At 47.8% G+C, this 16021-nt stretch overlaps 1 protein-coding gene across 6 annotated transcripts in view; it reads right to left on the bottom strand.

Annotated features, from left to right (window-relative positions):
• Nucleotides 1–16021, bottom strand: part of ARMCX4 (armadillo repeat containing X-linked 4) — a 117711-nt gene that overhangs the window by 39493 nt on the left and 62197 nt on the right. The window contains exons 1-6 of one of the 6 annotated variants that reach the window (NR_045864.2): nt 10966–11040; nt 10398–10473; nt 9224–9303; nt 8805–8888; nt 8397–8488; nt 7181–8052 (exon numbers count right to left, since the gene is read on the bottom strand). Coding sequence is in view for 1 of the 6 variants with exons in the window: in NM_001256155.3 (NP_001243084.2) it covers nt 1034–7906 (6873 nt within the window). In the remaining 5 variants the exon portion in view is untranslated. Of the gene's footprint in view, nt 1–688; nt 8053–8396; nt 8489–8804; nt 8889–9223; nt 9304–10397; nt 10474–10965; nt 11041–16021 lie in introns of those variants that run through there. The other 5 variants (NR_045861.2, NM_001256155.3, NR_028407.3 and 2 more) reach the window with 5 other exon arrangements.

Genomic DNA, 16021 nt, shown 5'->3' with positions numbered 1-16021 from the left:
CAGAATACATCTCAGCACTTATTGGTTCAAAGGGCCTCTCACGTCCATCCTCTCCTTACCATTCCCATGGCCTCCAGTAAAATTTCAAACCTTTATTATCTCATGCCTGGAGTAACTTGTGGTAGCTTCCTGTTTTTCCAATCTCCAGTCACCACTCCTATCCCCGCCCCAGCTTGGACTCCTGCTGCACATAAATCTACCATATCATTTTCCTTTCGTCTTGTCATTCCTCCGGTCACAAAAGGCCTTGATGTCTCCCAGGGGTGGATGTAGTAATATTCAGACACCCCAGTTTAGCAGTTAGGGGTGCTCCACGAACAGGACTCACCTCTACTGCCTGACTCTCTCTCTCTCTCGTCACTACCCTCCCTACACTTTGCACTTCAAGCAGGCCAGCATTTCTCTCTGGAGAAGGATTCCCATCTCCATGCCTTTTTTCCCATCACTCCTTCCATCTTGAGTGCCCTTCTGATCCTTTTGTATCCTTGAAGCCCAGCTTACCTAAGGGTCCCCCTCCTTTGTAAAACTTTCCTTGAGCACTGTTGCCTGCAGCAGTTTCTGCCGCCTCTAAACACTGATAGGAGGCATCTGGCCATGATTGGAAGCTCCCAGTTTTATTGCTATCTTTTTGTTTCCATATATCTTGCCTTTCCAAACAGATCATAAACTCAAGGACAAGGACAATGACTTTTTTCTGCTGCTTAAAACACACAACTTTATTGATGACATAAAAATAGTCTTAAATGTATAAACATAAGTCCACACAAAGGACCAAAGATTACCTTACTTATGAAGAATCCATTCAGTTTCTGCTCATGAAGCATACTAAAAATATCTCAATCCAGACAAGATAAAAATCAACACATGTATTTTTAGTACAAGCTTGAATTCATTTGGTGTTCATAAAATGGTCCAGCTATAGACCATCATAGGTAACATCAGTTTCAAAGTTATAATGCAATTTACAATGTGCATTACTTCCAGAGTGCAAAACCAAAATATTACTCAAATTTGTTTGGGAACATACAGCCAATCAGAGTTTACTTATTAATAGCTCAACTCTCTCTTTCACCTCAGGGTCATTGCATTCTGCTGCTAAGGCTCGAAGTTTCTTGGCACATGCTTTAGGTCGTTGGAATAGGAAATAAAGGGAATTTTTACTGAATTTGTCCTGGGTAAATGCTTTTGCTCTTCTTTTAAAATGGTAATTTATATTTTCAAATAGTGAAAGAGCATTAAGAATATTCTCCTTTGTCTCTTTCTTGCTAAAAATGTTAATCAGTGATGTTGGTGCATTGGCAATGAGCAAGTCTTTTGTCATAGATGGATTTTTAGAGAAATTCAAAAGCATTCCCAAAACATGGTCTTTAGTTTCTCCACTTCCCACCGTTAACAAACGAAGAAATTCTGAAATATAATTTGTAACCATATGCTGATATTCACTGGTAATAGTCAGATGCCTTATCAACCTTAGTCCAGCCAACTGCACATTTGAATTCAAGGGATAGGTGACAGTGTCTTCACATACTTGGTTTAAGTAAGTTTTAACCTTCCTATGGTTTTCAGCAGCCACTGAGATATTATTCAGTGCATTTAAAGCCTTCTGCCTAACACTGGGGTAGGGATTATTGAGCAAGCTTTCAATAACTGAAATTCCACCTACATTACGAACAACTTCATGAGAATAAGAATAATCAGCACTGTTATATAAAGCATTATTGGCTATTTCATGAACAGAAGGATCTTCAGTCATCTCAATCATGCAAATGAGTTTTTCAAGATCTCGTGGATCCATATTAGCTTCGTGTTTACAGCGGCAAGACCAGGGCCGAGTTTTTTCCCCAGTCCTGGTTTGTTTTCTGGACTCATCTTCAACTGGGAAGCTGGCCTCACTTTGGTGTGCAAACTTAGTTTCCGACCAGATCATGGCTCCATCCCATGACCCCATTCCTGCCCCAGGGACCATGTACGGATATATGCCTCTTGACTCAGATGACTTTTTGGCTTTAGCCTTAGGTGCAGATTTGTCCTCACTTGTGTTTTCATTACCAGCACAGAACCAAGACCCTATATCAACTCCACCAGCAGCCTCAAACTTATCCTTGATGCTGGTGTTATCCCCAGCTCCAGACTCAAAACTGGCATCTTTCCCACTCTTAGATCTGAACGTATTACTGTTCTCACTCTCAGCCCAAAACAAAGACCTTAAACTGATCTCCTCAATATCAGGGCTGGACTCTCTACTTAGCTCATCCTCTCCCACATTCCTAGCCAAGGTCCAGGACTCTACACCAGCCTCTTCCCCAGCCCCAAGCCTAGACTCTACAGTGGTTGCATCTCCATCCCAGGACCAAATCCCAGCCCCAGACTCAGTCCCAGGCCCAGCCCCAGCCCCAGCCCCAGCCTCAGCCCCAGCCTCAGCCCCAGCCCCAGCCCCAGCCTCAGCCCCAGCCCCAGCCTCAGCCCCAGCCCCAGCCTCAGCCCCTACACAGGAGCCCATATAAGCCACCTCCTCAGATCTAATCCAGGAGCCACTACTAGCCTTGTTCTCAGCCTCAATCCTAGAACAAATCATGGCCTCTTCCCCAGCCCCTGATCTGGATGCAGTAGTGGCCTCATCTTTATCATCAGGCCTGGACACAATATCAGCTTTTTCCTCTGTCCAGCACCAAGACCCTATAACGGCCTCAGCTCCAGGCCCAAACCAGAATCCTTCATTGGCCTCCACCTCAAAACTGACCTGGAACCTTCCACTGGCCTGGTCCTCAGATCTAGCCCAGGATCCTCCAGTGGCCTGGTCCTCAGATCCCATCCTAGATCCTCCAATGGCCTCATTCCCAGGCCTAGATCCAGCCCAGGATTCTCCACTGGCTTGGCTCCCAGCACCAGCCCAGGAGCCTCCTCCACAAGCCTGATCCTCAAATTCAGGCTTGGAACAGTCAACAGCCTGATCCCCAGGCCCAATCCAGGACCTTCCACTGGACTGATTCCCAGTGCCAGCCCAGGACCCACCACTGGACTGGTCTGCAGGCCCCGGCCTAGCTCCCCCAAGGACCTGGCCACCAGCCACACCCCAGGAACCTATTCCACTGGACTGATCCTCAGACCCTGGCCTGGAGCCTCCACCAGTCTGGTCCCCAGCACCAGGCCAGAACCCCCCTCCAATGGCCTGATCCTCAAATCCAGGTTTGGAACAACCACCAGCCTGATCCACAGCCCCAGCCCCAGTCCAGCAGCTTCCACTGACCTGACTCCCAGGGCTATCCCAGGACCCAGCACTGGACTGGTTCGTGGGCCCTGGCCTAGACCCTCCAACATCCTGGCCACTAGCCCCACCCCAAGACCCTCCATTCGTCTGACTCCCAGGGCAAACACAGAACCATCCACTGGCCTGGTCCCCAGTGCCAGCCCAGGAATCTCCACTAGACTGGTCCCTAAGCCCCAGCCTAGAATCTCCAACAACCTGCTCCCTGGCATCAGCCCAGGACCCTCTGCCACTGACCTGATCCTCAAATATAGGCTTTGGCCCAACACTAGCTGGATGCCCAGCCCCAGTCCAGGACCCTCCATTGGCCTGGTCCACAATCCCAACTAAGAATCCTCCACTGATTTGGTCCCCAGAGTTAGCCCATGACCTTCCACTGGACTGGTCTTCAGGCCCCACCTTGGACCCTCCACCAGCCTGGCCACCAGCCCCAGCCCAAGACCCTTCTTCTGTGGTCTGATTTTCAAATCTAGGCTTGGACCCACCACCAGACTGATCAAGTGTCCCAGCCCAGGCCCCACCACTGGACTGATCTACGTGGCCCAGCCTAGACCCTCCACTGGCTTGGTCTGCAGTGTCAGCCCAAGACCTTCCACTGGACTGGTCCTCAGGCCCCAACATTGACCCTCCACTAGCCTGGCCACCAGCCCCAGCCCAGGACCCTTCTCCACTGGCTTGATCCTCAAATCTAGGCTTGGACCCACCACCAGATTGATCACTAGTCCCAGCCCAGGACCCTCCACCGGCCTGATCCACAACCCCAGCCCAGTATGAAACACTACTCATATTCCCAGCCCCAGCTCCAGCCCAAGACCCTTCACTGGCTTGGTTCTCAGCCCCAGTCCAGGACCCTCCAATGGCCTCTTCCCCAACCCAGGACACCCCACTGGCCTGTCCCCCAGGCCAGGACCCATCACTGGCCTGACCCGCAGCCCAAAGCTCTCCAATGGCCTGATTCCCAGCGAGAGCCCAAGACCCCCCACTGGCCTGGTTCTCAGCCCCAGTCCAGGCTCCTCCACTGGCCTTGTCCCCAGCCCAGGTCCCCTCACTAGTCTGACCCCCAGCCCAGAGCCCTCCACTGGCCTGCTCCCCAGCTCTAGCCCAAGTCCCAATACCAACCACATTCTCAGCCCTGGCCCCAGCCCAGGACTTAACACTGGTCTCATCACAAGCCACAGCCCAAGACCGAATAATCCCAGCCTTATCACTAGCCCCACTCCAGGACCCAATACTGGCTTCATTCTCATCATCAGCCCAGGACACGCTATTTTCCCAGTCTCCATCCATGGTCTGAAACCTAAATTTGATCCACCGCTCAGCAGCAATCCAGTCTTCAACACCAATCCCATTCCAGTAGTAGTCATGGATGTTAGGCTGAGTCTTTCTGCAGGCTTGAGTGCCTGACCCACCCTCACTCTCAGAAGTGGGCATGGCCTCAGCCTCAGGCTTTGCATAGGCCTCATCTTCTGCTGTGGCTTCTGCCTCAGAAGTGGACATAGACTTGTCCCTTGCCCCAGGCAAGGTCTCACCCTGGGAACCGGCCACAATCTGAGGCTGGGCAGAGTGCCTTGTGCCTGCCCCAGTCCCTGCTTTAGGCACAGCAATGGTATTGCCCTTGACCTTATTCCTGGCACCAAGCAAGGTCTCACTCTGGGAATTAGCGACAGCTTGGGGCTGGGCAGAGCCCACTGTATCTGCCCCAGCCTCTGCCTTAGGCACAGCATTGGAATTGCCCCTGACCTTATTTTTGGCCCCAGGCAAGACCTCACCCTGAAAACTGGCCACAACCTGGACCTGGACAGAGCCCATTATGCCTGCCCCAGCCTCTGCCTTAGAAATAGCATTGGAATTGCCCTTGACCTTATTCCTGGCACCAGGCAAGGTCTCACGCTGGGAGTTGGCCACAACCTGAGGCTGGGCAGAGCCCATTGTATCTTCTCTGGCCCCTGCCTTAGACACAACATTGGAATTGCCCTTGACCTTATTCCTGGCACCAGGCAAGGTCTCACGCTGGGAGCTGGCCAAAACCTGAGGCTGGGTAGAGCCCACTGTATCTTCTCTGGCCCCTGCCTTAGACACGACATTGGGATTGCCCTTGACCTTATTCTTGGCACCAGGCAAGACTTCACCCTGGGAATTGGCCACAGCCTGGGGCTGGGCAGAGCCCCTTGTATCCATCCCAGCCCCTGCCTTAGACACAGCATTCCAATTTCCCCTGACCTTATTCTTGGCACCAGGCAAGGTCTCACAATGGGAATTAGCCACAGCCTGGGGCTGGACAGAGCCTGTTGCACCCATCCCAGCTTCTGCCTTAGACACAGCATTAAGATTGGCCTTGACCTTATTTTTGGCACCAGGCAAGACCTCACCCTGAGAATTGGCCACAGCCTGGAGCCGGGCAGAGTCTGTTGTATATGGCCCAACCCCTGAATTAGGCACAGTAGTGGGATTGCCTCTGATCTTATTCTTGGCACCAGGCAAGACCTCACCCTGGGAATTGGCCACAATCTGGGGCTGGACAGAGCCTGTTGTATCTGTCCCAGCCCCTGCCTTAGACACAGCATTGGAATTACCCTTGACCTTATTCTTAGAATCAAGCAAGGCCTCACCCTTGGAACTGGCCATAATCTGAAGCTGGGCAGTGCCCATTGCACCTTCCCCAACTTCTGCCTTAAGCACAACATTGGGATTACCCTTAACTTTATTCTTGGTGCCAAGCAAGGCCTCACCCTGGAAACTGACCACTGCCTCAGGCTGGGCAGAGTCTGTTGTACCTTCTCCAGCCCCCACCTTAAGCACAGTATGGGGATTGCCCTTGACTTTATTCTTGGCACCAGGCAAGGCCTCACCCTGGGGATTGGCCACAACCAGGGGCTGACCACAGACCCTCTGGTCTGCCTTAGTCCCGGCTTTAGAAGTGGCATTAGGATTGCCCCTACCATCAACCCTGGAATCAAGCAAGGCCTCAGCTGGGGTCTTGACCCCAGCCTGAGGTTGTGTACAGGTTTTCATGTCCATCCCAGGCCCTGTCTTACACTTGGCTTTGGCTTTGCCCCTAGCCTTACCTCTAGTATTAGGTAAGGCTTCACCCTGGCTCTGGGCCATACCTTGAGCCTTCATATCCACCCCAGCTCCTTCCTTAGGCATGGTATTGACATTGCCCCTGACCTTAATTTTGCCATCAGACAAGGTATCAGCCTGAACACTGGCCACAAGCTGAGGCTGTGTACAGGACAACATGTCTGTCCCATCCCCCACCTTAGCCATAACATTGGGATTGCCTCTGCTCTTATCCCTGGCATCAGGCAAGGCCTCAACCTGGGAATTGGCCCTCAAGTTTGCCTTGGCCCCTGCTTTAGTCATGGCATTGGGATTGCCTCTGTTCTTAACCTTAGCATCAGACATGGCCTCAGCGTGAGTACTGGCAACAGCTTGAGGCTGAGCAGCAGCTCTCATGTCAGCTCCAGTTATTGCCTTAGATATGACATTGGTATTTCCCCTACCATCAACCCTGGCACCAGACGTCACCTCAGCCTGTTTCTTGGCCACAGTCTGAGGTTGTATACAAGCTCTCACATCTGCCCCTGCCCCCACCTTACACATGGCATTGGTGTTACCCCCGGCATCAATCTTTGCCCCAGGAATGGCCTCAGTCTGGGTTTTGGCAAAAATTTGAGGCTGAGCAGAAGCCCTCGTGTCTGCCCCAGACTCTGCCCTAGACATGGTTTTACAATTCCCCATGTCCTCAACCCCAGTACCAGGCATGTCATCACCCTGGATCTTGGTCACAGCCTGAGACTGTGCACAGGACTTCATGTCCACTCCAGCCACCTCCCTGGACATGCCATTGGGATTTCCCCTAGCATCAACTGTGGCACCAGGCCTGGCCTCAGACTGAGTCTTAGCCACACTCACAGTCTCTTCCAGAGCTCTTGTCTTGGTTTCATCCACAATTCCAGTCTTGTTCGTGGCCCCCATCTTGGCCACTTCCCTGGGTACTGCCAAGGTCTCACTCTGTGTAACCATTACTCTGTTAATCTCTGTCTCTTTTTCAGCCAATATATGAGTTTCAGCTTTGGTCTGGGTCATTGCTTCTCTCTTGGCCTCTGTCTTGGCAACCAGCGCCCAAGCTTTAGCCTTGGTCTGTGTCACTGCTTCTTTCTTAACTATTTTGCCAGCCTCAGCATCAGTTTGGGTCACTGCTTCTTTCATGGCCACTTCCCTGGCTTTGGCCTTGACCTCAGTCAGAGTCACTGCCTCTGTCATGACCAGTGTTCCAGCCACCACTTTGGACTCAGATTGAGTCTCTGGCTCTGCCCCAACCATTGCCTTGGCCTGAGAGTTGGCTCTGTGTATGGCTATAGCAGTGGCCTTGGTCTCTACTTCAGCCCTAGGCCCACTTCTTGCTCCAGTTTCTGCTCCAATCTCGACTTGGGGTTTAGTCTTAATCTCTGCTTCATTTATGGCCAAGGTCTGGCTCTGTACCCCAACCACAGTCTCCATCTTAACTGTGGATCCATTTCTGGCAAGAGTCCTCACACTCTGGGCTCTTCCCTTGGTAAATTTGTAAATGTAGTAGCAGGTGCCAGCCCAGATCACCAGTCCTGCAGTCACCCAGCCCACTTCCTGAATGCGGCCCATGTAATCACCCCTGCTAAAAGCACGAACAAGGTATGGTAGAGCGCACTCGGGCTGGGGTAAAGAGAGTGGTAGTTGTGGGTGTAGGCCTGTGAGGGTGCTGGTCTTCAGCCACTCAAAGGCCACTACAGCTGCCTCTGGAGGTGGACCTAGAAGTGGAGGAAGGAAATGGACTAAAATTTCTCTTCTGATTTTGTTGCATCATACAGATAGATACACAGAGGAACAGAAAATGGTAGAACCATGTGCTTGGTGGAAGAGAGGATGATTAGCAGCCTCTCCATTCCTCTTATTTCATCTTCTCTCCACCTTCCCCAATGCCCAATAATTTTCTTCCAAGATACTTCTATACACATTTCTATACACCAAATGAACAGTGGAAAGGATGGTAGGAGGTCTGACGATAAATGGGAGCAACCAAGAAGTCCCAGACTTTGATTTCTACTGGACCTACTCTGGTCACCTGTCTACAGGGCCCCACCCTCATACCAACCTGTAATGATCCGAGGCAGTTCCCTCCTCTCCTCTTGCTTCTCTTGGCAGTACACCCTAAAGTAGATACATAAATTCATGAGATCTCTGGACCTAGAGACAGACAGACAGATGGAGGGACAGATGGGAGTAGAGAGTTTGTTCTTGATGGGACAGACATATTATTAGCAAACTACCTTTCTACGTTTCTCAGTCCACCCCACTCCCTAAGACACTGTCACACTCTTTTCCCTGTACCAGAATTAAGGTGAGGGTATGGAGTAAATGACAGGGATGGTGGGAAAGGTGGCTGGAAAAGGAGAGACTGAGGATCCTCATCCTCCAGACTGGTCACTGGTCCTTACTGGATGCACACTGGTCTCCACCAACCCACTCTAGAGGTCTACCCAGGCAGTCCCCACACTCTTACCAGTCTATACTGATCAGGAGCAATCTCCTCTTTGTTTCTTTGCTTCCAGTGATCTTAAGCCCTGCAGCAGACATGCAGGCAGATCTATGGACAAGTAAACAAACAGTAGGTAATGGAAACCGAGTCCCTGGTAGAACAGACAAGCAACCTGATCCCTGACCCCAATGTCTGCCTCGCCAGAGCCCAGGTTCTATATACTAATGTGTACCATCTCATGGTCCCCCCATCAAGTCTTCCCCCAGTCATACTCCAGCCCACCCTTACCCCCATATTCCTATCATTTCCTGCACTGAAATCCACAGGAGGCATGGCAGCACTGTGGCAATCCAGCACTCCACTGAGACCCTCTTAAATCTCACCCACCTCCTATGCCCACCCTCTCTTGTCATCCCCAGAGACTACCCCCACTTCACACCAACCTCCATGCTTCTAGATTGATCTCCTCCTCTTTCCCTTGCTTCCAATGGTAAACAGCCCTACTGCAGGCCTATGGGAAGACCTTGGAACAGATGGAGAAAAAGAAGAGAGTGGATGTTAAGTACTTGTGACACTTACCATCTAAGACATAGGTCCCTGTACCTGCCTGCCTGGATTTAGAGACCCATTTGCTGGCAGAAAAAAAAAAAAAAAAAAGCCTGGGGCTTCCCCAGCACTGAAATGGGAAGGATGGAAAAGGGAGGCAGGAAAAGTAAAAGGCAACAGACAGAGGCACGTTATTTTATTTTATTTTATTTTATTTTATTTATTTTATTTTTTATTTATTTTGAGACAGAGCCCCACTCTGTCACCCAGGCTGGATTGCAGTGGCAAGATCATGGCTCACCACAGTCTCGACCTCCCAGGCTCAAAAGATCCTCCCACCTCAGCCTCCCAAGTAGCAGGAACTACAGACTGTGCCACCATACCCAGCTAATTTTTAAATTATATGTAGAGATGAAGTCTCGCTATGTTGCCCAGGCTGGTCTTGAACACCTGAGCTCAAGCAATCCTCTTGCTTGGGTCTCTCAAAGTGCTGGGATTACAGGCAAGAGCTACTAGGCCCAACAAGGCAAATTATTTTAAAACCACCTGTAGGGTTCTAGGGATTTCCCCAAAAGCCCACCATTTCCTTCACCAAGATGGTCAGGTAGGTAGAGGGATCTGGAAAACTGAAGGATGGCAGGAGAGATGGGAGACCCCAGATCCCATACTCTAGAACCACAACCTACTGCTGTCCACGTCCCTTTCAACCTATCTCTAGGAGTCTCCAGCAGAAGAGAAAAGCTATAGGGGAAGCCTTTTGCTTCTACAAAATCACTATCCTTCCCCACCAAAGGCTATCTAAAAAATAATAATAATAATAATATTCTTTAATATAATTTATCTTTTTCTCAATATTATCTGAAATGCAAATAAAAGCATCTGTAGAAAAGTTTGCTGTCTTCATTGGTCTTCAACATACAATTTAAAAGTCCTAAGCTTGGTAAGTAAAATGCAGTTTAGGGAAAGTCCCCAAGCTAGCCCCACCCCACATCCCATTCAGACAGCCGCACCTAAGTTCCTGTCATAGAATTCATATGGAACTCCAATGGTTTAGATAGTGTCTGTACTCACACTAACCTCCTTGATCCAGTGCAGTTTTCTCCTCTCCTTCCTTTCTCCTCGCCGCAAACAGTGCTACACCGAACTACTGTCCGACAGACAGGAGAGAGTAAAACCACTTAGTGTTGGTCTAGAGCCCAGGACATAGATCCCAATACTCGCCTTTCCGGGTTCAGGAACCTGGTTATCAAACGTCCCTCCCCACAGTCTGAGACACCACCCTTACCAACCCCACCGTCCAGTCTCTAAGGCCCACCATTTTCTCTGCAAACGCCACCGTGGCGCATCCCTTCCACTAAATTGAGCAGGAAGCGAGCGGACATGTGTGGCCAGTGATTAGAGCGATGGGCATCTCAATCTCTGTATTTCCCTCTGGCAGAGACAATCTCCCCACAAATCAAAGCCCACGGTTCGCCTGCACAGATGTAGGCGGGGGCAAGGGGGCTAGGGAGAATCAGAGGCAAAGGCTCCTCGAACTTGAGGCAGCATAGACCACCGCCCCCTCAAGCCCCGTAACCGCTGCCGGGGTCAGTGAGCTTCTGCCGGCCTGGCCAGGGCGCGCGGGCCCCAGGGCCCTTACCTGCTCCGCTTTCCCCGGGCCCGATGCCAGCCCGCCGAGCGCAGGGCAGCGGGGAGCTGGTAGCCAGATGCGAGTGACGACTGCAACGAAGGCTGCGTAGCTCTGCAGCTCCGGGTCACGTGAGGACCGCGCGTCACCGCCGAGCTCGCCCTCCTCCCCAGCACCCCCTACCACCCACCAAGGGCCGGCGGCCAGTCACCAGGAACTCCCCCCTCCTCCACTCCGCACGCACAGACATCCCCGTTCTCTGGTCTGTGCTCGGTGCCCCAGTGCGCACGCGTTGTCACTCATCTCCGTCCTCTCCAATCTGAGGGCCCACAAGTGGCATCATCGCCTTGTGGTTGGAGTTTACCCATCTTCAGTTACAGGGGAGGGTCTGCATCCCCCTACCCACTCCCGGCCCTTGGCTGTGGCCTTTTATGTTTCTTCTTTGAGTAATCACTTATTTCTCTCTTAGACTATAAGACCAGCACTCCCCACCCGCCCCCTACACGACCTGCCCTCTCTAAGTACAATGCCTGCACCAAATGGGCTGTGGAAGGGGGTATCAGGAAGGAAAGCAGAAGGTGCAAGTAGAGCTTTAATTTTCTTTTTCGTGTTCCTTTTTTTTCTTTTAATATGACATTCTTTTCTAATATTGTAATCAGAAAATACAGTATAGCCATTTTCATTTGACACAAAAAATATTCAGGGTGTAAAAATAACAAAAGACTCATTCTTTTGTTTACATTATTTTGTGCCACATTTTAAAATGTCTTCTGTTACTGCAAACTATTTTACAGCTTTCAAAATTGACTAGTAATTCTTGACATTTTAAATACAAAATTGTCCTAAACAAAACCAGCACGTATTCAATATGATCTATAAGTTAATCTTTGGAAAGACATTTCGTTTTCTAATATTGACAATTTTACACAGGTGATTTGTAACTTTTGAAGTTCTGGCTGAACTCAGCATCTTTTTTCAGGTGTCTAAGACCTTCTTCAGAGAAGACTTCTAGAGGATATATTTAAGACCCAACTCCTGATGAGCCTAGTGCTTTACTAGTGACTTACCAAATTAACCTGCTTTACTAGTGACTTCCCAAATTAACCTGTTTTCCATTCAAGGGGCTTTATTTGGATTTTACATAAGCATGTAATCAGATCAGCCTCACCACACCCATGGAACAACCAACTGCTAGAGCTTGGATGGAAAGGAGACTTAACAGGTGGAATTTTCATCCGTCGTAACACTTGAGATCTCGCCGGTGTCTGCCATTCATGTACTACATACTACCCTAGCAGTGGCGAGTGTTCAATATTTTCCAGTGGAGATGGTGGTGAGGGTCTGTGGATGACTGTGAATCACTGCAACACACCTGATGTCCGTGTCATTATTTTTTTCCCTCACAAGTGGAAGGGCAATGTACAGGATCCCAAGCAATTGCCAAGAAAAAGAAGTTTTTTCATGTCCTGCCTTGTGTTACAACTTCACTGCACCTCCCATACAAGCCCCTCAGAATAATCCCAAAACTCAGGGACCAAATATGCAGAAGTTAGTCCCCACGCATCCACCTGTCCCCGCTGAGGAGTCATACTCCAAATATAGACCCTCCAGGCAGCCTCTTTCTTAGAACATTGAAATAGGACACCCCAGAGGGAGGGGCTCCACTGTGAGGGGCCCCTGTGTGGAGGAGGCCCTTTCAGGAGCCAAGAAAGGAAGTCCTAGTGCCTTACAATCTTACTAATGGCTTTTCAGAACTCAATTGAAAGTGACGAACTTACTTTCTCCACCAAAGGAAAATATTGATAAATTAATTGCATACAAATTTTAAACTTTGGTAAAGTAAAAAAAAAAAACCATAAACATTGACTGTCAAAAGGCTAACTTGTAATAATCTAAAAGCTCTTACAGATCATTAGTAAAATGATAAACAACCCAATAGAAAAATGTGCCAAAAGACATGAACAGATTTGTTCACAGAAAAGAAATAGATTACTAATAAACATATGAAAAGATGCTCAAACAAAGAAATGCAAATCAAAGCAACTATGCCTTACCATGTTTCAAGTATGATTTTCTCAAAGTTTAGAAACTTGATAATATTGTTGACTGGTTTGTCAAGAAATGGGCACTCCTCTACTCTGTTGGAGGCAGATATTGATGCAAGCTTTTTATATAGGGCAATTTGGCAAACTCTATTAAATGATAACTATAATATTTCACAAATTCTTTGACCCAATAATTCTATTCCTTGGAATTTAGCCAACCTATATGCCTACACAGTTTCACAAAGATATATTTACTAGAATTTTTTTTTTTCGCAATGCTTGTAAGGTTTGAAAAAACTGACGCAGCCGGGCACGGTGGCTCACACCTGTAATCCCAGCACTTTGGGAGGCCGAAGCAGGTGGATCACGAGGTCAGGAGTTCAAGACCAGCCTGGCCAACGTGGTGAAACCCCGTTTCTATTAAAAATACAAAAATTAGCCGGGCGCAGTGGCAGGCGCTTATAACCCCAGCTACTTGCAAGGCTGAGTCAGGAGAATGGCTTGAACCCAAGGGATGGAGGTTGCAGTGAGCCTAGATCACGCCACTGCACTCCAGTCTGGCTGACAGAGTGAGACTCTGTCAAAAAAAAAAAAAAAAAAAAAAAAAGCCTGACGCAACATAAAATGGCTATTGATAGGGGAGAGATTAAATAACTCATGTTATATTTATACAATGTGGCTGATGGAGTTAGCTCTGTGTATCCCAGTGGAAAGATAATTGGGGTGTTTTAATATTTGCTGTTTACTTTACATACAAATCCCACAAGAGTACAATTCTAGTATAAAATTCAAACCCAAGGCCAAGTGTGATGGCTCACGCCTATAATCCCAATACTTTGGGAGTCTGAGGCAAGAGCATTACTTGAGGCCAAGAGTTTGAGACCACCCTACATAGGTTTCCCGACATAGGGAAACCTGTCTATTAAAAAAAAAAAATAGCTGGGCTTAGTGGTGCATGCCTGTGGTCCTAGCTACTTGGGAGGCTACTTGGCAAGAAGATTGTTTGAGCTTAGGAATTCAAGGTTACAGTGAACTATGATTGCACCACTGCTCTCCAGACCGGCAATGGCGTGAAACCCTGTCTCTGAAAAGAAAAGAAAAGAAAAGAATAGTCAAACCCAGAAAAAGCACTAGTACCACTTTCACTCCCCTATCCTCACCCAAATCACAGTTACCTCTCCATTTTAAGTTTGGTGTATTAACCTTTTGTATACATGATATACACATACATGTCTTATTAAAATATATAAATGAGATTTTTTTTTATATGGAGTCTTGCTCTTTCACTCAGGCTGGAGTGCAGTGGTGCGATCTTGGCTCACCGCAACCTCCACCTCTCGGGTTCAAGCGATTCTCATGCCTCAGCCTCCCTAGTAGCTGGGATTACAGGTGCGCACCACCATGCCCAGCTAATGTTTGTATTTTTAGTAGAGACTGGGTTTCACCATGTTGGCTAGGCTGGTCTCAAACTCCTGGCCTCAAGTGATCCAACCACCTGGGCCTCTCAAAGTGCTGGGATTACAGGTGTGAGCCACCACGCCTGGCCAGGATCATAATTAACATACTGTTTTGCAACTTGCTTTTTTTTCATTTAAAATTATGTCTCAAAGAGCTCTACATACCAGTACATTTAAAGCTGCTTCATTCTTTTTAACTGCTGCATATTATGAGTTCTGGATCCGGAGCTAATAAAGCAAGGTTACAATGAACAGTCTGGCACATAAAGCTTTGCCAACAGGTAGAAGAATTTCTTTAGGATATTCTACTATAAATATAATTATTTGCTTAAATGTATGAGATTTTATACATTTGATATTGCCAAAAGAAGGATGTGAGATTTTATATAGTTAATGGATATACCACCAAACTGTCCTCCAAAAAGGCTTGGCCAATTTATACCCCCATCAAACATAAGACAGGATCTATTTCCCCACACTCTCATGCACACTGTGTACAAATGTTTCTCAACTTATAATGGGGTCATGTTCAAATAAACTTATAGGTTGAAAATACCATAAATCTAAAATGCATTTAATACATCCAACCTACCAAACATCATAGCCTAGCCTACCTTAAAAATGCTCGGAACACTCACATTAGCTGACAGTTCGGCAAAATCATCTAATGCAAAGCCTATTTTATAATAAAGTGTTGAATATCTCACATAATTTATTGAATACTACATTGAAAGAAAAACAGGATGGTTGTATGAGTACTTGAAGTACAGATTTTACTGAATGTGTATTGCTTTTGCACCACCAATTAAAGTAAAAAAATCATAGGTTGAATTGTCATAAATTGGGGACCGTCTGTATTAGTAATTATTGCCAATATAAGAGTCAACAAAAGATTGTCCTTTTTTTTGTTTTGTTTTGAGATAGGTTCTCACTCTGTTGCCCAGGCTGGAGTGCAGTGATGTAATCACAGCTCACTGCAGCCTCGACCTTCCTGAGCTCAGGTGATCCTCCCATCTCAGCTTCCCCAGTAGCTGGGACTACAGGCGCATGCCACCACGCCCAGCTAATTTTTGTACTTTTGGTATAGACGGGTTTTTGCCATGTTGCCCAGGTTGGTTTCGAACTCCTGAGCTCAAGCAATCCACCCACCTCGGCCTCCCAAAATGCTGGGATCACACAGGTGTGAGCTACTGCACCTGGCAAGATTGTCCTTTTAATTCACATTTTCCTAAATATCTATTATCTTGAGCATAATTTCACATGCTTAACATCCATTTGCATTTCTTCTCTGAGTATTAGTTAATATCCTTTGAGTATTTTCCTATTCAGCTGTATTTTTTAAATGGTTTGTAGTTCTTTACACATTTCTGTATATTAGTTATTTTTCTGTTATATAGGTTGTACATATATTTTCTCAATCTATCACTAACATCTTAATTTTATGGTATTTTTGATATTCAGAATTTTTACTTTTTTAGACAGGGTTTCGCTGTGTCGCCCAGGCTGGACTGCAGTGGCGTGATCATAGCTCACTGCTGCCTTGAACCCCTGGGCTTAAGCGATCTT

The sequence above is a fragment of the Homo sapiens genome, chromosome X, assembly GCF_000001405.40.
Source record: "Homo sapiens chromosome X, GRCh38.p14 Primary Assembly".
NCBI lineage: Eukaryota > Metazoa > Chordata > Mammalia > Primates > Hominidae > Homo > Homo sapiens.
This window is presented reverse-complemented; position numbering and strand designations above follow the sequence as displayed.